The 22,296-nt window shown below is 44.4% G+C and overlaps 1 protein-coding gene across 18 annotated transcripts in view, besides 6 other annotated features; it reads right to left on the bottom strand.

The window, feature by feature from the left end:
• The window catches only part of VWA3B (von Willebrand factor A domain containing 3B), a 243,450-nt gene that overhangs the window by 179,146 nt on the left and 42,008 nt on the right, over positions 1-22,296 (bottom strand). For 14 of the 18 annotated variants that reach the window (XR_922885.4, NR_144296.2, XR_922884.2 and 11 more), the window contains one exon: positions 17,532-17,647. The exons of 2 other annotated variants lie outside the window; for them this stretch is intronic. Coding sequence is in view for 10 of the 16 variants with exons in the window: in NM_144992.5 (NP_659429.4) it covers positions 17,532-17,647 (116 nt within the window). In the remaining 6 variants the exon portion in view is untranslated. Of the gene's footprint in view, positions 1-1,829; positions 1,939-17,531; positions 17,648-22,296 lie in introns of those variants that run through there. 2 more of the 18 variants (NM_001345864.2, XM_017003561.2) reach the window with 1 other exon arrangement.
• Positions 16,602-17,801: an enhancer, noted in NCBI's record as "P300/CBP strongly-dependent group 1 enhancer chr2:98750133-98751332 (GRCh37/hg19 assembly coordinates)". NCBI's record gives its function as "activates an origin of replication core promoter dependent on BRD2, BRD4, P300/CBP, MED14 and CDK7 cofactors, with strong dependence on P300/CBP, by STARR-seq in HCT116 cells {active_cell/tissue: HCT116}" and the evidence as "EXISTENCE:reporter gene assay evidence [ECO:0000049][PMID:35650434]".
• Positions 17,001-17,050: an enhancer, noted in NCBI's record as "active region_16256". NCBI's record gives its function as "activates an Ori minimal core promoter by ATAC-STARR-seq in GM12878 lymphoblastoid cells {active_cell/tissue: GM12878}" and the evidence as "EXISTENCE:reporter gene assay evidence [ECO:0000049][PMID:35858748]".
• Positions 17,071-17,130: an enhancer, noted in NCBI's record as "active region_16255". NCBI's record gives its function as "activates an Ori minimal core promoter by ATAC-STARR-seq in GM12878 lymphoblastoid cells {active_cell/tissue: GM12878}" and the evidence as "EXISTENCE:reporter gene assay evidence [ECO:0000049][PMID:35858748]".
• Positions 18,530-19,115: an enhancer, noted in NCBI's record as "H3K27ac-H3K4me1 hESC enhancer chr2:98748819-98749404 (GRCh37/hg19 assembly coordinates)". NCBI's record gives its function as "activates a minimal SCP1, AML or CMV promoter by ChIP-STARR-seq in primed H9 embryonic stem cells {active_cell/tissue: H9 hESC(primed)}" and the evidence as "EXISTENCE:reporter gene assay evidence [ECO:0000049][PMID:30033119]".
• Positions 19,116-19,702: an enhancer, noted in NCBI's record as "H3K27ac-H3K4me1 hESC enhancer chr2:98748232-98748818 (GRCh37/hg19 assembly coordinates)". NCBI's record gives its function as "activates a minimal SCP1, AML or CMV promoter by ChIP-STARR-seq in primed H9 embryonic stem cells {active_cell/tissue: H9 hESC(primed)}" and the evidence as "EXISTENCE:reporter gene assay evidence [ECO:0000049][PMID:30033119]".
• Positions 20,661-21,487: an enhancer, noted in NCBI's record as "NANOG-H3K27ac hESC enhancer chr2:98746447-98747273 (GRCh37/hg19 assembly coordinates)". NCBI's record gives its function as "activates a minimal SCP1, AML or CMV promoter by ChIP-STARR-seq in naive H9 embryonic stem cells {active_cell/tissue: H9 hESC(naive)}" and the evidence as "EXISTENCE:reporter gene assay evidence [ECO:0000049][PMID:30033119]".

Below are 22,296 nucleotides of genomic sequence, written 5' to 3'. Positions count from 1 at the left end.
AATGTGGCACATAGCGGGCCTCAGCTCAAGCTCATGCATTCACCACAATACGAATATACCCTGGATTGCTGGAAGCGGTGGCTCACACCTGTGATCCCAGCACTTTGGGAGGCCGAGGCAGGCGGATCACTAAAGGTAAGAGACCAGCCTGGTCAAAATGATGAAACTCCATCTCTACTAAAAATACAAAATTAGCTGGGCATCATGGCGGATGCCTGTAATCCCAGCTACTCGGGAGGCTGAGGCAGGACAATCGCTTGAACCCAGGAGGTGGAGGTTGCAGTGAGCAGAGATCGTACCACTGAACTCCAGCCTGGGCAACAGAGACTCCATCTCAAAAAAAAAAAAAAATTAGCACTAGTTAAAGGAGAGTCCATTCCATGTTAATCAAACTGCAGGTGACATGTAGACCTGTGATCAAGAAATAATGGCTGACATATTTCCACATTTGATGAAAACTGTAAACCAACAGGTACAAGAAGCTCAGCAAACCTCAAGTGCAAGATATATGCCATCAGGTGGCGAGAAGACTCAGTGGCATGTTTTGCTCTTGAAAAGGTGAGAAGCTTCAGAAGGCAAACGGAAATAGAAGGGAGGAACCAGGGAGGATATATGTCAGTCCTTCCTCACCCTCCAGAGAGTCAGTGGCATCTGTTAAAATCACACCTACAGACTGTCAGAGGATGGTGCGGAGATGAATCGAATTTTAGAATAGACAGTCTAGAATAGAATTTTCTTCCAGACTAATGTGGGGAAACCAGACACCATGTAGGCAGGCACAGGATCCCAGAGGGTGATGGGAATAGAAGAGTATGCCTCCTGCTCTAGAAGTTCACAGAAATTGGGCAAAAGGGTCTTTAGACACCACCAAGCCACAGAATCAAGGTTCGAGGCAATTTCACTTGATCCCTAGTGGGCAGGCACCACCATCACATCAGAGCCACCTCTGCACAAGTGCTCAGAGGGCTCCTGACTCAGCAGGTGCTATGAACCTGAGTCTGCTTCCTGTCCTCTGCCTTCATATTCTTTATAGTCAAAGAAGAATGACCACGAACTCCTGAAGGACAATATAAGAAAAACGTAAAATGTAATGCACTACCTAATGCACCACCTAAGCGGCTCACGTTGTCAGAGTCAAAACACTGGAAAAGCTTTCCATCACCTGGAAAGAGCAGTCCTGGAAAAACAAACACAGAAAAAACTTTCGGGAGAAATCCCTCCAAGGAATTAATGTACCTATAGGAATCTAAAGCAAGCACAGAATAAATAAATACTTTTACATGATGATACATCTATTTTTGCCTTTACAATGAAGCAACAAAGGAGATAAAATTGCTCTCAGCCTACAACTACTTTTTGTTTTCCTCAGAAGAAGCATTGATATAAGGAACTATCCTAAAATATGAGGCCTAAAAGTTGATAATAATTCATATATAACTAATTTATTTGCAGACACCCTTACAATTTATTTATCAAACTCATTATAAGAAATGAAGATTCATACAAATATCTACTTACCAATGAGTATCAAACATCAAAATTAAATGAAATCAGAACTTGTAGCAATGCATCTATCTGTTTATCTAGGCTTTAGTAATTTAGGTTAGAGCAGTCCAAAGTACTTTGAAAACTTTCAAAAACAATTATAGCTTTTTAAATCTCCAGTTGATAATTGATAATGAGGCGGGGGAATAGGGTCTGGAGGCAGGGAACCTAAGGCCGATTCACAGTGACTTCCTAGAACTAAATCAAAAGGAAACCCCAACTTTCCAAACCTAAGTAACAGAAGAACCAGAGGTACTCCCTTTGCAAACCCCACCCTCACACACCTTTTTTGCCTGGCGGATGGAAAATTGAAAGTACTTCTGACTGGTTGCTTTCCACAATCAATCAAACGTTTGCATAAGGTGTAAACTTTGCAACTTCATGTCAGCTTCTGACTGGTTTCTTTCCACAACCAATCAGACTGACTGCAGGCCACTACTTCATTTGCATGGGGTGTACATCAAGCGGCCAATGAGAAACCTCTAGAGGGTGTTTAAACACCAGAAAATTCTGTAACTGGGCTCTGGAGCCCCTATGCTCAGCCAGCTCACATCCTGTGGAGGGTACTTTCGTTTTCAATAAATCCCTGCTTTTGTTGCTTCATTTTTCCCTTGCTTTGTTTGTGAGTTTTGTCCAATTCTTTCTTCAAAATGCCAAGGACCTGGACGCCCTCCACCAGTAACAATAATATTATTGTTTCAAAATGTTTAAGGCTTTAATACACCAAAAAGCAAAGCTGCAGTAAGCAAACTGCTGATACAGCTCAATCTTTTTTCTTTCAAAGTATATCACTGGAGCTAACCAAATTATGTCAATAAACCAAAGAAGAGAGAAGAAAAATGTATTTGGAGCAAAACCCAAAAAGCTTAGAATGTCAGTAAATACTATGAGAAAAATAGTGTGCCTTGAATGAGACAGCACAGAAACCAAGCACACATGTGCACTCCCCTTAGAAGAGTCAGTCCAGCAAGCAACATTCAAGATGAACGTTTATTTGGATAACGTGAAGCCCATTCTTCACATCTATGATAAATATAAGGGTAGGTGGAAAAACAAATCATGGTCAAATGGTCATGACCAACCTCAGACTAGAAAGAGAAAGAGCCCTGAAGCACAGCAGATGGTCCAGGAGCAAGTGTCATATAGAAGAATATAATATATTACAAAGGGTAGCACAGAGGTCAGTGGAGAAAGGGTGCATGAGTGGTGTGAAGGCAGTTGTTACATATTTTAGGGAAAATCCATTTATATTCCCACATCACACCATACTTCAAAATAAATCTAGAAGGACCAAAACAATTTTTGCTTTTGTTTTAAACTCAGGCAATAAAGAACCAAAAGGAGAAGAAATACAGTTACGAAGGAACTGCAGGATTTATAGATTACAGTTACTGTGCAAATTTTATGGTTGCCTATAAAAAACAGCCAAAATGAAAAGGAACACAATGACCAACATAAATTATCCATATGTAATACACCAAAGACTGTTCACACAATGTGATAAGAAACACAAGACCCCCGCAAGTAAAAGGGTAATAGACAAACAGGCAGTTTACAAAAGAAGTTAACAAATCCAAAAATGTTCAACTTCACTACTGTTTAATACTAATTGACACGAATTTCTTCATCAAAGAAATTCAGATGGAAACAATGAGATACTATTTTTATGCTAATTCAGGTTCTGTGAAATGGGTGTGAATTATATTGTCTTAAAGTATTTTTTGGAAAGCAATTCAACATGAGAGATTACCCCACAATGTTCAAACATTTTGATTCAGTATTTTCACTATCAGAAATTTATGTTTTAAAAAATCTAAACTACAGGAGTAAATACACCACACAACACATATACACCATGGAATACTATGCAGCCATAAAAAAGGATGAGTTCCTGTCCTTTGTAGGGACATGGATGAAGCTGGAAACCATCATTCCCAGCAAACTATTGCAAGGACTAAAAACCAAACACCGCATGTTCTCACTCATAGGGAACTGAATAGGGAATTGAACAATGAGAACACTTGGACACAGGAAGGGGAACATCACACACAGGGGCCTGTCGTGGGGTGGGGGGAGGGGGGAGTGATAGCATTAGGAGATATACCTAATGTAAATGACGAGTTAATGGGTGCAGCACACCAACATGGCACATGTATACATATGTAACAAACCTGCACGTTGTGCACATGTACCCTAGAACTTAAAGTATAATAATAATTAAAAAAAGAAAAAAAATACACCCCAAAAAAGATAAGTGCAGTATGATCTCTGATAGCAAAAGAAAATTGAAATTACCCAAATATCTAATAGGAAATGATCGACAAAACTCTAATATAGAACTTTAATGAAGTATTTGATATTTTTAATGTCAACTACAAAAATTTTATAGTAATGTGGGAAAATACTTGATTCTATATTAAGTAGAAAATTCAATATTCAATTTGTACAATAATATATTTATGCCTTAATTATTTTTAAGTATATAGTGAGAAGACCTGTAGGAAATATACCAAAATATCCAACGGTGTAAATATCTGGATGGCAAGAATGTTTCTTTTCCTCTCTTCTCCATATTTTCCAAATCGTCTATATTATGTCTGGAGAGTGCAATATAGTCAGGTGCTCCTGACAGCCTGGATTCAGACCCCCAGCCTCATACTAATGAGATAATGTATGCATGCACCAAGCAACACTTCCCTGGTCCAATAATTAGAAACATCATGGTTTCTAATTAATTACATCAGGAGATATCTGATGTAGTAGTAAGAGAACAAAACAAAGGATGAAAGTTATTTTCTAATATTACAAATTACATTCTCTTTTAAAACACCACAATTGTATATCATGCTTTCAAAAGTTATTTTGGAATTTGCGAAATTAAGAATAGATGGGCTAAGTATTCAAATGATACTTTATCAATTTTATTTAAATGAGTGGCAACATAATGTATGCCACATAACCCTATGACCAAAAAAAGTGGCTGACACTGTCCACTCCACACAGTTGATGAAGACATCAGGTTCCACATTTGCTCTTAGAGCCCACGCCTTCATACATCTTGGAACGTTTATACTTAGCCTTTACTTCCAGGATGAACGAAGCTATATAAGTCAATACTGTTTCCCTTTTCTAGAAATTATGAGGGTAAATGAGAGTGGAAAAGAAAACACAAACACCTTTTTTCCTCTAAACTAGGAGACAAAAATAACATACTGATAAGGGCTATGGAGAACAGCTGAGATGGGACAGAAGCAATGCAGAAGAAAGCACAGAGAATGTGTACCCAGAGTGGTCAAAAGGGCTGTGGCAGCTCTGAGGAAGTGGGGGGTGCCTCACCCACAGTCAAAGGTGAGCCTTGTTGGCAACCTGGATGCTAGAACCTCAATGACAAGTGCTGACAGCAAAATCTGCCTACTTGGTTAAGAGAGGCAAAGAGGTAGGGCTTCGCAAAGCATCACCCAGAACAAACTTATATGCAGGAACCACTCTGTCCCTGCAGCAGCAAAAAAGCAGAGAGCCCCTGAGTTGTGAAGCATAGATGGCTATCTTAGCCCCTTCCCTACCTTTCCTCCCCTAGGACATGCCTGCAGATAGCTTGTGTCCATTCCATGGTGATCAATAAATGGAAGCTGATACATAGCATCCAAACAAGGATACTATAAGAAACTTATGCGGAAAAGAGCAGTAAAACTACCAAGAGAAGAAGAACACTCACTAAAAATGTTACCAAGGAGTCCTTACAATTACGATCCAACATTTTTTCTGTGAATTAAATATCTATATGAAGCCATCATCTCCCTGAGGAAAGAACACAAAGCAGAAATTCAAGAACTCAAAAATGACACGGAAAGGCAACAAGAAAAGATGAAATATAAAAAAAAATTAGGAAAGGGCTAGGTGCAGTGGCTCATACCTGTAATCCCAGCAGTTTGAGAGGCCAAGGCAGGAAGATCACTTGAGGCCAGGAGTTTGAGACCAGCCTGGAAAACATAGCGAGATCCCCCCAAAACCCAACCCTAATCTCTGCAAAAATAAAAAATTATCTGGGCATAGTGGCACGTGCCTGTAGTCCCAGGGCTTTAGAAGGCTGAGGCAGGAAGATCCCTTGAACCCAGGAGTTTAAGGTTGCAGTGATCTTTGATCACGTCACTGCATTCCAGCCTAGGCAACAGAGTGAGAACCTGTCTCAAAAAAAAAACACTCAGGAAAGAGGAAAAAAAATCACAGCAGTTAAGATGAAATTGATGTAAGCTCAATGAAAAAAAGTGCTATGGAACTCACTGTGAGAAACCACAGAGGGTGAACGCAGGCAGAAATAAAGTGCTTAAAAATGTCAGAGAGAAAATAATAGATGTAGAAGACTGTTAAAGGAGATACACCAGACAGATAAAATGAGTCTCTGAAGAAAACCAGCATAATGCAATGGTTATGAGAACAGTCTTGAGTTTGAATCCTGACTCTGCCATGTGCTATTAATAGTTATGTGAATTTGGACAAGTTTCTCAACCACCTTCTGTTTCGGTTTCTCCATCACTAAAATGAAAATAATAATAGTACCTACTCCATGGGGGTATGTTATGAAGATTGAGTGAGCTGGAATTTGGTAAGAGGCTGGAAGAGTGCCTGGCACATACAAAGCAACATGTAATATATTTGTCCAATTTAAAATAAGAATAAAATGGAACAGGACAAATATTTAAAGATACAATCCAAGGAATCTTGTCTAAAATAGAAGTCTGGAGTATACAGACGGAAAGGGTACACTGTAGGCCAGGGAAAATCGACCACAGCAGCCAGCATTGAGACAAATCCTAACACTTAATGGACTTTAAAGATCAAAAAAGAATTTTGGGGGCAACCAGGCAAAAAGATAAAGTCACTCACAAAAGAAAAACTAATCGAGCTGGCCTCAGATTTCTCCTCAGCAGCATGCAGCAGAGAGGATGTGGGAGCACAGCTCCTGAGCCACTCAAGGGAGAAAAGTGAGCCAAGGGCATTGTAGCAGCCAGGCTGTCCTTTCAGTGTGTAAAGACTGCAGAAAAGGACATTCGAAAACTCTGGGGATAACGCGGTGGCTCATGCCTGTAATCCCAGCACTTGGGAGGCCGAGGTGGGTGAATCACCTGAGGTCAGGAGTTCAAGACCAGACTAGTCAACATGGCAAAACCCCGTCTCTACTAAAAATACAAAAATTACCTAGGCGTGGTGGCAGCCACCTGTAAGCCCAGCTATTTGGGAGGCTGAGGCAGGAGAATAGCTTGAGCCTGGGAGCAGGAGGTCGCAGTGAGTCGAGATCACACCACTGCACTACAGCCTGGGCCACAGAGCAAGACTCCATTTCAATTAAAAAAAAAAAAAAGAAAGAAAGAAAACCCTATGGGCACCATTATTCCTTGAATGGAAGGAAGCCCTTCTCGAAGGAATGACTAGAAGAGGAACTTCAGCCAACCAAGAGAGAACTCAGGAAACCAAAGTAAATGGAATGGACTCGAATTGGGAACTGAGTACAATATATTTAGTGATAGAACTAAAAAAAAAAAGTAGGAATTAGGATTACAGAAGAGAAGTAAAGATAATAAGACTTAGTTTTTAAGTTGTTTACCTAGTGATAATAACATTAACAGGGTAACTGCAAATGATGATGGTTATGACAATAATGACAACTATAATTTATTGATTGGTTAACTGTGTGCTAGAGACCATAGAAAACATTTTTCATATATATGCATGTATACACATATAACCATGCATACATACATATATATCCATCCATCCATACATATATATGCATACATACATGTATTAATATATATTCTTATATAGAGATATATTCCTAACAACCTATAAGGTAAACATTATTAACATTATTACCCCATTCATAAAGGAGAAAGCAGCCTGCCATCCCAGCACTTCAAGAGGCCAAGGTGGGGGGATTGCTTGAGGCCAGGAGTTTGAGACCAGCCTGGACAACATAGTGACCCCAGTCTCTACAAAAAATTTAAAAAAATGTAGCCAGGCATAGTGGTGCACACCTGTAGTCCCAGCTACTCGGGAGGCTGAGAGGGGAGGATTGCTTGAGCAAAGGAGGTTGAGGCTGCAGTGAGCTATAATGGTGCCACTGCACTCCAGTCTGGGTGACACAGCAAACCATGTCTCAAAAAAAAAAAAAAAAAGAAAAGAAAAGAAAAGAAAGCTAAAGCTCCAGTTAGTTAAGCTAAGTACCTTGAAATCACACAGCTAATAAGTGACAAATTCATACAGGTCTGACTCCAAAGCCCAGGTTTTTTTTATTTTACTATATTTGAGTTCCCTGAATATAGGACAGTGCCTCATTCCTCTCTGCCTCCCCACCATGTAACACAGCTAATATAGCATAATAGAAACAACATATTATTCCCATTTTACAGATGAAGAAAATAAGGCAGAAAACTTAAATAAGATGCTCAGGGGTACACAGCTAGAGCAGTGCTACCCAATAGACATACGATGTGAACCACATATATAACTTTAAATTTTCTAGTAGCTACAGTTTAGAAAGTAAAAAGAAACAGGTGAACTTAATTTTATTAATATACTTGATATAACTTGGCCAGGCATGGTGGCTCACGCCTGTAATCCCAACACTTTGGGAGGCCGAGGCTGGTGGATCACTTGAGGTCAGGAGTTCATGACCAGCCTGCCCAACATGGTGAAACCTCGTCTCCACTAAAATCCAAAAGTTAGCCTGGCGTGATGGCAGGCGCATGTAATCCCAGCTACTGAGGAGACTGAGGCAGGAGAATCACTTGAACCCAGGAGATGGAGGTTGCAGTGAGCCAAGATCATGCCACTGCACTCCAGCCTGGGTGACAGAGAGACTCCCTCTCAAAACAAACAAATATATATATATTTGATATAACTCAACATATACGTATTATCGTTTTGATTTATCCTCTAAATTTAAAATTGTTAACGTGATAATTGATATGTTTTACACTAAGTCCTTGGAATCTAGTGTGTATTGTACTTTCACAGCACGTCTCAATTTGGACTCGCTCCATTCCGAGTGCTCTCCAGCCACGTATGGCCAGTGGCTTCCCAATCGTACTCTAGAGCTGCATGCCTCACTCAAGAGACTGCCAGCTCTTCATTTACCATTCTCCAACATCTATTCTTGAAGTGTTGTTTTAGAACATCAAAAAACAGAGTAACTAATTAAGTTATCTCAGTGGTCTCCACCTCCACAGAAGAGCCATCTGTTAGGGTTTAACATCATGCCTCTGGCACTTACAGAAGGTCACATTTATGCACATGGATGGATCATATTCTGCGAGGATCATCTGTTTTCCCCTCTCTATCTCCTCCTCCACACTTGAGCAGATACCAGGCTCATTGCAAACTTGCCCCCAGGGAGGCCTATGGCAGTGTAGAAAGATGAAGTAGGCTGCAAGACATTCAGGCTTTTTTAAGCCTGAACCCCTAGGAGAGGTATTACGGTTTACAAAGCAGGTAGCTTTGAAGAAGCTGGAAGGAGCCAGGCTTTTTCTCAGATAAAAGGGAGCCTGCCTTTGGCTTGGGGGAGAACAGGAGACAGGCCCCAAGAGAAGACAGGAACTGGCCTCAGTTCTTTGCAGCACCCTGGGAGGAAGCCTGCATGGGGGGAATCCAGGGAGGCGGGGCAGGGTCTACAAAAGATTTTCACATCCACAGCCCAGCACGGGAGCAGCAGAGAGCTGTTCAGCCTGAAGCGGCAATAAGGCAGGGACAAGGGGTATTTATGGTGTGATTTTCCAGAACAGATATCCAACGACTAGACCCCACCTCCTGATGCATAAACACTGCCTAGGGTCTCCAAACTGTGGGTAAAGCTCGGGATGGGGACAAGGACTGAGCTTTATTTCCCACCCAACCAGAGGAGAGGAGACTGGAATAAAAAATTAAACTGAATTCTAGAAATCAAAGTAAGTAATCGGCCTTGTTTTGGTGACCAGAAATTCAAATCTGCCACTTAGGGGGCCTCACTTGGGTCTGCCAGGACCTCAGGCAGTGTCACCTACACAACCAATGCACTGGAGCCAGTTCTTCCGGAGGGGACAGCTAAGACCATGACTAACTGGTGGGCAGAGAGGGGTGTGGCCTCCTGGAAGTCACTGCTGACTTGGAGAACATCATGGTAAGATTAAGGTTCAAAGAATATCACAGAATACTTTTAAGCCCTGGTCAGGTGTGAAGTGGCCAGCAGGAAGGCCACTTGAGAGTTTGCTTAAAAGATGAGTTTCCCTGACTCCCAAGAATGCCCAGTGATAAGAGTTTGGATGTCTGTCCTCTCCACATCTCATGTTGACATGTGATTCCCAGTATCAGAGATGGGGCCTGGTGGAAGGTGTGTGGGTGACAAGGGCAGATCCCTCCTGAATGACTTGGTGCCCTCCCTCTCTGTGGTAATGAGTTTCCATGAGATGTGATAGTTAAGAAGAGTCTGAGTCCTCCCCCTTCTCACTCCCTCTCTCTCCACGTAATGCACTGGCTCCCCCTTTGCCTTCTGCCATATTTAAAAGGCTTTCGGAAGTTTCCTGAGGCCTTACCAGAAGCTGAGCAGATGCTGGTGCCCTGCTTGCACAGCCTGCAGAACGCTGAGCCTAATAAACCTCTTTTCTTTATAAATTACCCAGCCTCAGGTGTTCCTTTATCGCAGTGCAAAACAGACGCATACACACAGAAACAGAGAGGCATAGAAGATGATTTTTCAGGCCTCTGTTTCAGATTCTGAAGCAAAAAGGTCTCCTTCAGCAGCACCACATGAAACCCTGCCAACCAGAGCAGATGAAAAGTGTCACCACAGTCAATGGGCGGCTGCCATGTTTAAAAGGCTTCCGGAAGTTGGGTAGGAGGACTGTCCAACAGATTCCCTGAGAGCCAGGTGCCAAGGCAATGTGACCCTGCTACCTGCCCATCAGGCTCACCTCTTAACTGGCCATTGGTGAGGGGGCCTGGGGCACATGCCACAAGACTGTGGACAGGGGAAACTGAGACCCCAAGGCAAGAATGGGGAAAATGCTGCCCAGTCTTGGAAAGGGATCTTTTCCAAGGAAAATTCCTAGAGTTCAGGGAAGCTCAATGTGACTCTGTCTTATTTTGCTTATGGGTAAGATGAATATTAATATTTCATGGTAGACACAGGCCATGAAGAAAATCCACGCTTATTAACAGAGAAGGGAAGACAAGCTGCTGGGGGCTGGGTGGTTCAGAGGAGCACCAAAAGGGAGCATCGCTCTGGTCCCATAATAATCTATGTCCCATTGGTGCCCCTTACCCTCTCCAGCAGACAGCCAAGCCCATCATAAAGAGAGAAAGAGGCAGGAATACCTTCACACAGAGAAGTATGGGAGGGAAGGTGCTGCCTCCTTAACGGAACACCCACCTCCCCCATTCAGTGCCCCAGGAGTGGTAACAGGGGCAGGGATCCAGCCAATGCTGGGCTGAAAGCCAAGGGGAAGGACAGCTACGAGGAGGAGAGGCTTAGAAGATGAGTGGCAGCTTCCGGTCAGCAGCATCTGCCAGACTAAATCTCCTGCACTCTGTAAATCCAAGCCAAAGATCCTGCTCTGCCCAGGGAGGGGAACTCATCTGAGGCTGGTGAGCATTCCTGGATGGGATGGGTCAGTGCTGGGAGGAAGGAGAATCTCTAAGGCATGCGGTTGTGTCCGGAATTGGTGGGTTCTTGGTCTCACTGACTTCAAGAATGAAGCCACGGACCTTCGCGGTGCGTGTTACAGCTCTTAAGGTGGAGCATCTGGAGTTTGTTCCTTCTGATGTTCGGATGTGTTCGGAGTTTCTTCCTTCTGGTGGGTTCGTGGTCTCGCTGGCTCAGGAGTGAAGCCGCAGACCTTCACGGTGAGTGTTACAGCTCTTAAGGCGGCGCTTCTGGAGTTGTTCGTTCCTCCCGGTGGGCTTGTGGTCTCGCTGGCTTCAGGAGTGAAGCTGCAGACCTTTGCGGTGAGTGTTACAGCTCATGAAAACAGTATGGACCCAAAGAGTGAGCAGTAGCAAGATTTATTGCAAAGAGCGAAAGAACAAAGCTTCCACAGCCTGAGGGGACCTGAGGGGGTTACCACTGCTGGCTCGGGCAGCCTGCTTTTATTCTCTTATCTGGCCCCACCCACATTCTGCTGATTGGTAGAGCCGAGTGGTCTGTTTTGACAGGGCGCTGATTGGTGCGTTTACAATCCCTGAGCTAGACACAAAGGTTCTCCACGTCCCCACTAGATTAACTAGATACAGAGTGTCCACACAAAGGTTCTCCAAGGCCCCACCAGAGTAGCTAGATACAGAGTGTCAATTGGTGCATTCACAAACCCTGAGCTAGACACAGGGTTCTGATTGGTGTGTTTACAAACCTTGAGCTAGACACAGAGTGCCGATTGGTGTATTTACAATCCCTGAGCTAGACATAAAGGTTCTCCACGTCCCCACCAGACTCAGGAGCCCCGCTGGCTTCACCCAGTGGATCCCACACAGGGGCTTCAGGTGGAGCTGCCTGCCAGTCCTGCACCGTGCGCCCGCACTCCTCAGCGCTTGGGTGGTCGATGGGACTGGGCACCGTGGAGCAGGGGGTGGCGCTCGTCGGGGAGGCTTGGGCTGCACAGGAGCCCACGGAGGCGGGGGAAGGCTCAGGTATGGCGGGCTGCAGTCCCGAGGCCTGCCCCGCGGGAAGGCAGCTAAGGCCTGGCGAGAAATCGAGAGCAGCTCCGGTGGGCCGGCACTGCTGGGGGACCCAGTACACCCTCCGCAGCTGCTGGCCTGGGTGCTAAGCCCCTCATTGCCTGGGGCCGGCAGGGCCGGCCGGCTGCTCCGAGTGCGGGGCCTGCCAAGCCCACAGCCACCCGGAACTCCAGCTGGCCTGCAAGCTCCACGCGCAGCCCCGGCTCCCGCTCGTGCCTCTCCCTCCACACCTCCCTGCAAGCTGAGGGAGCCGACTCCGGCCTTGGTCAGCCCAGAAATGGGCTCCCACAGTGCAGCGGCGGACTGAAGGACTCCTCAAGTGCCGCCAAAGTGGGAGCCCAGGCAGAGGAGGCACTGAGAGTGAGCGAGGCTGTGAGGACTGCCAGCACGCTGTCACCTCTCACAGTCATCCCTGGAAGTAAAAGCTGAGACAACCGCCACGTACCCAGGTTCAGGCACTCAGCTTTTGGGGCCCTGGGATTCTGACCACCCAGCCAAGTAGCTGCACCAAGGGCCTGGGAGCCCAGCGCAGGCCAGCAACCTAGCCCCACCCTCACGCAGGTGAGTAATTATTCCTTTCTGGAAACATCGAGATTTGCTTCAGGAGGTGCAGATGGTGGAGACCATGTCATGAATATTATGAGATCCGCGCCCCCGCCCCACACATATTTGTCATCACTCTGTGCTTCCTGGGCTCAGGGGGCATACGCAGCAGGGAAAAACAGGAATTCTGCAAGTTTTCCCCCAGTGTGTAAGAAAATACGGGCGAGCTCATGAAAAAATACAATTATGGAATTTTTAATGGATCTCTCTAGCATACAGGAGTTTGTGAACAGAACTTCTTGCCTGCTCTGGTTTCTGGACCTTCCCAAATTACCATTAAAAGGTACTGTCCTGTCTATGGCTTGTATGCTGCAGCAGATGCCTCAACAAGCAGCCTAAAAGGGCAGACGGGAGACACTGGCCACGGAAGGCTTCCCAGAAAGGTAATGTTTACATGGAAGGAAGCAGGGAAGCAAAGGAGCATCTTCCAGAGCTTACATGAGAGCAAGTTCACATGGCCCAAGAGATGGCAGACATTCAGACAGAGGTTGAAAACGAGGTGCATGTGGAAGAGGAAAGTGGATGGTGTTAGAAGGTGGGGAGGGGCCTGCTGAGCAGGGCCACATGGAGCCATGTTGGAGGCAGAGGCAAAGGGGAGCAATGCGATGTGTACCCCTGCACACATGATGGCATGGATTTGCAATGGGTAATTTTTTCCCAGAACACTAAAGTAGTTGAAAAAATACTAGAAAATTAAAAAGTAGGAATGTTTTTAATTTAAATAATTTACATTATTTTATTTGTACCAAAACAGAATTTGTTATTATTTTACACTCCTAATCTTGATGGAAACAAATTCATCAATTAACAAGTATGTTCTAAGTCTATTTATTTCATTTTCAATTCAGAGTTGTAAATTATAAGAAATGTGAGAAAGTAACTTTGAAAGTATGTGTGATGAATAAAAACTTTAGTGAGAGATATAAATATACTCCCAAAATAAACTTAATGTATTAATACACTTTTTAATTGTTCAATATCTTTAAACTTAATAACCTAGAAACAAATTATCATTACAAATAATAAATAAAAACATATATATATAGAGAGGTACACATTTCTCCTCTTGCCTCAGGCTCCAATATGGCCTCACAGAGTCTTGTTGGAGCCTGTCTTTATTTGAAATTGTGATATTTTCATCATCATGGATTTTTGTGGCATTAACTTTGACTTTTTAAAATATTATGTCAAAATTTCAACAAGCACATGAAAAGATGCTCAAAATAATGAATCATTAGGGAAATCCAAATAAAAACCACAATGAGATATTGCCTCACACCCATTAGGATGGCTACTATCAAAAACAGGGAAAATAACAAGTGTTGGCCAGGATGTGGGAACTTTGTGCACTGTTGGTAGGAATGTAAAATGGTACAGCCACTATGGAAAACAGTATGAAGGTTTCTGGAAAAAACATTAAAAATAGAATCCCCATATATGATTCAGAACTTCCATTCTGAGTATATATCCAAAAGAATGAAAAGCAGAATCTCAAAGAGCTATTTTGTACACCCATATTCATAACATTGTTCCCAACAGACAAAAGGTAGAAGCAACCCAAAAGTCCATGGGTGGATGAATCAGTAAACAAGATGTGGTATATCCATATAATGGACTATTATCAACCTTAGAAAGGATGGAAATTCTGACATATTACAACATAGATGAAGCTTGAGGACATTACGCTAAGTGAAATAAGCCAGTGGCAGAAGGACAAATACTGTATAATTGCACCTATTTATGAGATACTACCTAGAGTAGTCAAATTCAGAAAGGAGACAGAAAGAAAGTAGAATGGCGGTTGCTAGGGGTGAGGGTGGGACAAATGGGGTGCAGTGATTTGAATATATGTGTCCCTCCAAAATTCATACATTGGAACCTAATACCCAATGTCACAGTATTGAGAGTGGGGCCTTTTGGGAAGTGATTAAGTCATGAGGATGGAGTCCTCCTGAATAAGATTAGTGCTCTTATAAAAGAGGCTGAAGGGAGTGTCCAGTTTGCCTTTTTTTTTTTTTTGGCCCTTTCATCTCTTCTGCCCGTGAGGGTGCAGCATTCCTCCCCTCCCAAAGATACAGCAGCAAGGCACCGTCTTGGAAGCAGAGTGAGCCTTCACCAGACACCAAATCGGCTAGTGCCTTGATCTTCGATTCCCCAGCCTCCAGAACTGTGAGCAATAAGTTTCTCTTTATAAATTACCCAGTCTTGGGTATTTTGCTATAGCAGCATGAACAGACATAGACATAGGAAGTTACTGTTTAATGGGCACAGGGTTTCAGTTTGGGAAGATGAAAAGGGTGGTGATGGGTGTACAACAATGGGAATGTACTTAACACTAGTGAACTGTCAGCTTAAGAGTGGTTAAGATAGTAAATTTATGGCATATATAATTTACTATAATTTTTTAAAAAACATTTTTTATCTTAACTGCAGAGTTTTTTTGTATTGGTACAGAGCATGGGGTCATGGTAAGTCATACCCTGAAAGCCTATTATCTGGTATCCAAAAAGTCAATAATAGCAGGAAATTCCTTCACATTGCCAGAAAAGTCCTCTGAGCTATGCTTCTCCAACCCCTTACTTGAGAGTCTCTATTTTCTATACAATGGAGGGGGAAATAATGTAAGAAGTCACTCCCCCACCAAACGAGAGGGTGGCCTGAGGAAAGTGATGTGGAAAATGCGTGAAACGGCTGATGTGGCAACGGAGAGAGATGTGATCAGGTAAAGGGAAGAAACCTGCCTCTGAGGCCCAGGTGAGGTGGGAAATCACACATTTTCCAAATAAAAACAGTCTGTCAAGGTTTCTGGGCAGTTTGGGAGAGGTAGGCTTTGAAATGTTGGCATTTCTGGGACATTGTGATGGACAGAGGAGACAAGATCACGTATTTAGGATTTGAGATTCTCCCTCCAAATTCAGATGTGATCACTGAAATGGATTGAGAACAACGATCCATGCCAAGCATTTTATTCTAAGAAAAATGTTTTTGGCCGGGCGCGGTGGCTCACGCCTGTAATCCCAGCACTTTGGGAGGCCGAGGCGGGCGGATCACGAGGTCAGGAGATCGAGACCATCCCGGCTAAAACGGTGAAACCCCGTCTCTACTAAAAATACAAAAAATTAGCCGGGCGTAGTGGCGGGCGCCTGTAGTCCCAGCTACTCGGGAGGCTGAGGCAGGAGAATGGCGTGAACCCGGGAGGCGGAGCTTGCAGTGAGCCGAGATCCCGCCACTGCACTCCAGCCTGGGCGACAGAGCGAGACTCTGTCTCAAAAAAAAAAAAAAAAAAAAAAAAAAAAGAAAAATGTTTTTGTATGTAATTTGCATGCTTCAAAGGGTTGGTAAGATGGTAGTTGCTGAAAATGTAAGCTATGCAGTTTGTATTTCCCTTTATAACTAAGTTGCCAAGGAATCCAGAGACCAAGACTAAACCCCATTTCCAGTAATTGGCCCACCTTGGTTTGCTAGTAACATCTCACATTCTTTGCCGTGATTAAATCATTGCCCACTAGGCTTAATCTTGTAAATTACTTTCAATAGGCATGACATATATCCTGAATTAATTTCTTCTTAGATTAGCATCGATCTTGCCTATATGTTGGCATTTTCTCGAATTCTCTGGAGATGTCCCCTTCATGATTGGAACAAAGGTTTCCATTACGTGAAGTAGTGCCTCCAGTGAACTCTATGGGAACATCTCCCCTCCTCTGCTTGGACACCAAGAATCTGAATCTACAAAGTGTGTGTCAGGAACAGGCTCATGACTCATCTTCACTTTTATCTCCATCTGAAAACCTAACCTTCTCCTGGGAGCCTTTGCAGCACCGTTACGTAAATCTTTCAAGCAGCTGTTGCTACAGCTTCTCTCTTATCCCTAAAGAGTAGCCTCTCTGCCTTATAATGAAGCTAGAAATCTGTTTGATAATTTAAAAAGAGGGAGAGTGGGGGTGAGCTTTCTTAGACTTCTAACAACCCACCAGGTACCTTCATCCAACAATCGAACAGGGGCTTCCTTCCCTCCTTTTCTCAGTGGGGTTTATTCAGTCTTCAGCACTTTGCAATTTCATCAGCTTAAAAGAAACTCCCATCTCCTGGCTTTCTGAGTAACCTTCCACTGTTTTTCTGAATCACAGCCTATTTCCCGCTGATTTGGTGACCTCATTCTCTGTGCTCATTAAGTTCTCTGATCACATTCATTGAATGAAAGGGGAAGTTCATTCCGCCTCCGTAAAGGTTCCTGTGCGGCCTCCGCCCTCACAAGGGGCAGGCCACTCCCTCAAGCTGCATCCGCAGGCCCTGCTTTCATCACAGGGAGGACAGCAGAAACCCCCTCAAGAACCGCAGGCACCCTCTCTGCAGCCTCCCAACTAATCCACACAGCAGAGTGGCTCTGCCTTGCCAAGAACTAACTCCGGCATTGACAGGCCCAGGGCCACATCTCCAGCAGGTTCTCAAGTTAGTAAACACACATCGCTTAGGCCATTTCCCTGGATTGTAAACTTATGCCTGGTTGCTACGCTGACAAACTCACCACTAATATCCATTAACTCTGCTCTTGCACTACATTAATAACATTATACAAAAGACATGGGGAGTCTCTCCCTCGTACTTTACTTCCTAATGATCCACGTCGTCTGAGGCTATTCGGGACATAAGCTACACCACTTCTTTTGGATTCCAGGTACCTGGAGGGAGTTTTCCTTTCAGTTTCCTTGAATTCCAAGTCATCACATTGTCACCATCCTTTGTGGAGAATGCAGGAAATTCTACACACTCTGTTCTCTCGGCAAATGCGTGGAATCTGAAACGTGAAGAGATGCTCATTAGGAAGGCAGTACGCAGGTGTCCGTGCATGCTTGTTCCTTCTCCTGGGACTGAACGTGCTCTTCGGCAGCACTGGGCATCTTCATCTTCTTAGCCATGGTCACTGCTTCTTCCTGCACCTTGTCAATTCCACAAGCAAAAGACAGGGAGGCAGAATAGCACAGAGAATTGTGAATGATGTGGGATTTTAACCGACAACTCATCCTTTCATTAGAGGGTAAATTAGCTCAACCAAATGGTATTTCTTGGTCCTGGGAAAATGACACTCTATGCTTATATTCTTTCTCTTGTTCCCAGGGTTCCGTCATGTCAACACAGCTTAGCCAAGCCAGGGGTCTAATGAGGGGCCCCAGTAGCACCCATCAGCTCTGTAGGTTCAGTGAGGACAGCTCATGACACAGACAGCATTTGCCTAATTTGCCTGCTGCTGATGGGCATCAGTCAACTTTAACTCAGCAAACACACACTTCCCCAGGAGCCAGGCTTAAGCACGAATGAGAAGCATTCCTGTGTAGACAAGTTTTTAGGACCTGTCTTTTCAAAGCATGGTCCAAGGAGCAGCAGGTTAGGAATACACACTCCCAGGCCCCCACCCAGCCCTGTGGAGTCCAAATATCCATTTAACAGGGTCCCCAGGGGGCTGACAGACACATGAAAGTTTGAAAGCACTGATGTAGTGCACAGGGTGATGGGCTAAGTCACACCCTCAAAGCCACTTAACTGGAATCCAAAAAGTCCATAAATAGCAGGACATTTCTTTCAGGTGGACAGAGGAAGTCACAAGTAATGCTCCACCAGCCACGCAGGAGTTCCGTCTCTGCCTAGCACCACACACTCAACTCAGAGAAATCCCAAGCACCGCTCAGGATGGAAATGTTGGGAGAAGTCTAGGGAACCCACCGCGGCTATGGAAATCCTCAGTCTCTTCCCAAAGGGTTTCAGGCGAGACTGGAATAATGACTTGACGGCAATTAAAATGTCAGCCTCATTCTGGTGCCCTTCCTAAAGCCAATGAACTCTTAGCCTGGTCATTCCCAACTCCTGCAGGAGCTTCATCCAGAGCAGAAATGTCCAGCTCCCTTGCCCTGTAGGGCAAGGAGGGGAGATGGGTGAGGTTTGCCCCAGCAGGCCCCATGCCCTGAGTGTCAAGGCCTTTGGCACCCAGGACCTTCCACTCTCTGATCTGTTTTCTAGATTAGAAAAGGGAGCAGGGCAGAAATTTCCTCTGGCTGATATAGTCTCGCTTGTGCAGAAGCAACTCAGCATTATGACAGGCTGTTTGAGCCTTAGAGCACAGCGCTGTGCTTGGACTGGTGGTTCTACCCAGACACAGCCTCTGGCACAGGGGAAGCCGGAGTCCAGTTGGAGGGTCACCAGACCAGGCAGCCTCCTGCAACCTGAGACACTCAGGACATGCCACTTGCAGCTGGAGAATAACTGCCCTCCAGCTGGGGCCCCATGGCCAAAGGTGCACCAAGACCAACCAGAAGCCATGGGGTGTCCAGGCAGGGAGTGGAGAAGGCAGGGGCACTACTCGTGATGGGTTACGCTTGCCTGCAAAGGCCCAGAGCATGGACAGGAGGATACATCAATACCTCATCCTTTTCTGCAAGACCCACCTCCATGGCTGCATGGCCTCGTTAGGTAGCTGAACCACAGCTTCTCTCACAGGAAATTATTCCCTGGGCTCTAGCATGCCCCAGATGAGCTAATCAGAGAACAGCAAGAGAGGTGACTGGCCAGTTGCCTCTTCTCTTTCAACTAGCGAGGTCACAGGAGGGAGCCCCCTTCTGTACTTAGGGGCTCAGGAACCCAGAATGGGAGCCACATACTTGATGTTAAAAGATTTCAAAGTGCCGTAAGAGCAGCCACAGCAATGGTCCTTAGAGTCCCAAAGTCTTGTTAACAATGAAAATTTCTAGCCCTTCACAGATCTTGAAAATTAGAATTCCTGGGGCTGCGGCTATAAAATTTGCATCTCAATCAAGCTCTCTGGGCAGGTATTATGCAAAGTGATGGGAAAAATTCATATTCCCGGGCTCTCTCTATGACGTGGAATGAGCCGGCAAGGTGAAGCCTGGCCTCTGTATCATTAACAAGCTCCCCAGTGACTGTGATGAGCACCTACACTTAAGAACAAGATGCCATCTTACCCTGTTAGGAGGGCTGTTATCAAAAAGAAAAAATGACAGATGCTGCTGAGGAGGCAGAGAAAAGGGAAGTCTTATAAATTGTTGGTGGGAATGTAAATTAGTACAGCCATTATAGGAAAGACTATGGAGATTTCTCAAAAAACTAAAAATAGAACTACCATACAATCCAACAATCCCACTACCAGGTATTTACCCAAAGAAAAGGAAGTCGGCATATCAAAGGGATATCTGCACCCTGTGTTTATTACAGCACTATTCACAATAGCCAAGATACGGAATCAACCTAAGTGTCCATCAATGGGTGAATGGATAAAGAAAGGTGGTATATACTTAATAAATACTATTCAGCCACAAAAAGAAGGAAATGCCGTCATTTGCAGCAACATGGATGGAACTGGAGGTCATTATATTACGGGAAATAAGCCAGGTATAAAAAGCCAAATATCGCATGTTCTCACTCATGGGTAGGAGGTGGAAAAGTTGATCTCATGGAGATGAGAGTAGAATGATAAATACCAGTGGCTGGGAAAGGTGTGAGGATCGGGGGATAAAAATAGGTTGGTTAATGGGTACAAACGTACAGTGAGATAGAAGGAGTAGGTTCATACAGTGAGATAGAAGGAGTAGGCTCTAATGTTCCGATGGTAAAGTAGGGTGGCTATAGTTAACAACAGTGTATTTTATATTTCACAATAGCCAGAAGAGGGGACTTAAGATGTTCCCAACACATAGAAATGATAAATAAGGTGATGCACATCCTAAATCCCGACTTGATCATTCCACATGCTATGCATGCAACAGAATATCACATGGGCCTGTGGCGAAAAGAGAGATCAGATTGTTACTGTGTCTGTGTAGAAAGAAGTAGACATAAGAGACTCCATTTTGTTCTGTACTAAGAAAAATTCTTCTGCCTTGAGATGTTGTTAATCTGTAACGCTACCCCCAACCCTGTGCTCCCTGAAACATGTGCTGTGTCCACTCAGGGTTAAATGGATTAAGGGCTGTGCAAGATATGCTTTGTTAAACAGATGCTTGAAGGCAGCATGCTCGTTAAGAGTCATCACCACTCCCTAATCTCAAGTACCCAGGGACACAAACACTGCGGAAGGCTGCAGGGACCTCTGCCTAGGAAAGCCAGGTATTGTCCACGGTTTCTCCCCATGTGACAGTCTGAAATATGGCCTCGTGGGAAGGGAAAGACCTGACTGTCCCCCAGCCCAACACCCGTAAAGGGTCTGTGCTGAGGAGGATTAGTAAAAGAGGAAGGAATACCTCTTTGCAGTTGAGATAAGAGGAAGGCTTCTGTCTCCTGCTTGTCCCTGGGCAATGGAATGTCTCTGTGTAAAGCCCGATTGTATATTCCATCTACTGAGATAGGGGAAAACCGCCTTAGGGCTGGAGGTGGGACAAGCTGGCAGCAATACTGCTCTTTAAGGCATTGAGATGTTTATGTATATGCACATCAAAAGCGCAGCACTTTTTTCTTTATCTTGTTTATGATGCAGATACATTTGTTCATGTGTTTACCTGCTGACCTTCTCTCCACTATTATCCTATTATCCTGCCACACCCGATAATGATCAATAAATACTAAGGGAACTCAGAGGCCGGTGCCGGTGTGGATCCTTGGTATGCTGAATGCCGGTCCCCTGGGACCCCTTTTTCTTTCTCTATACTTTGTGTCTCTTTCTTTTCCAAATCTCTCGTTCCACCTAACGAGAAACACTCACAGGTGTGGAGGGGCAACCCACCCCTTCATGGGCCCTATAAATATGTACAAATATGTATCAATTTAAAAATATTTAAAGAACAAGTGCTCTGGGAAGACGTTGTACCCATTTCAAGGAGAACTTAGGAAAGGATTTTATAATTCTCCTTGTAACCACAGAAGTAGCTGATCTTTCTCCACAAGAGACCTAAACTTACACACACACATACACACACACACACAGACCCAGGGTGCAGGGGCATATGTTTTTAAATGCAGGTTTTATTACTATTCGGGTATTGTGAGGCCAATAGATAAGGAGCCTACTGCCATTGAAAAGATAGTTTGTTACTCATGGTTCCCCTATGGACTGAATTGTGCTCCCCCAATCCCAAGCCAAAAAAATTCCTATGTTGAAGCCCTAATTCCCAATGTGACTGTCTTTGGAGATAGAACAGGAGGTAATAAAGGTTAAATGAGGTCATAGGGCAGGGCCCTGATTCTATAGGATGAGTGACCTTATAGGAAGAGGAAGAGACACCAGTGAGTGCGCCCTCACTCTCTGTCTCTCTGTCTCTCTCTCTTTCTCCGTCTCTCTGCTCTCTCTCTCTCCACACACACACAATGTCTCTCTCCTCTCTCTCTCCTCTCTCTCCTCTCTCTCCTCCCTCTCTCTCCACACACACACACACACACACACACACACACACACTCTCTCTCTCTCTCTCTCCTCTCTCTCTCTCACTCTCTCTCTCCACCGTG

The sequence above is a fragment of the Homo sapiens genome, chromosome 2, assembly GCF_000001405.40.
Source record: "Homo sapiens chromosome 2, GRCh38.p14 Primary Assembly".
Taxonomy (NCBI): Eukaryota; Metazoa; Chordata; class Mammalia; order Primates; family Hominidae; genus Homo; species Homo sapiens.
Note: the sequence above shows the minus strand (reverse complement) of the source record. Positions and strands in the feature narration are given on the sequence as shown.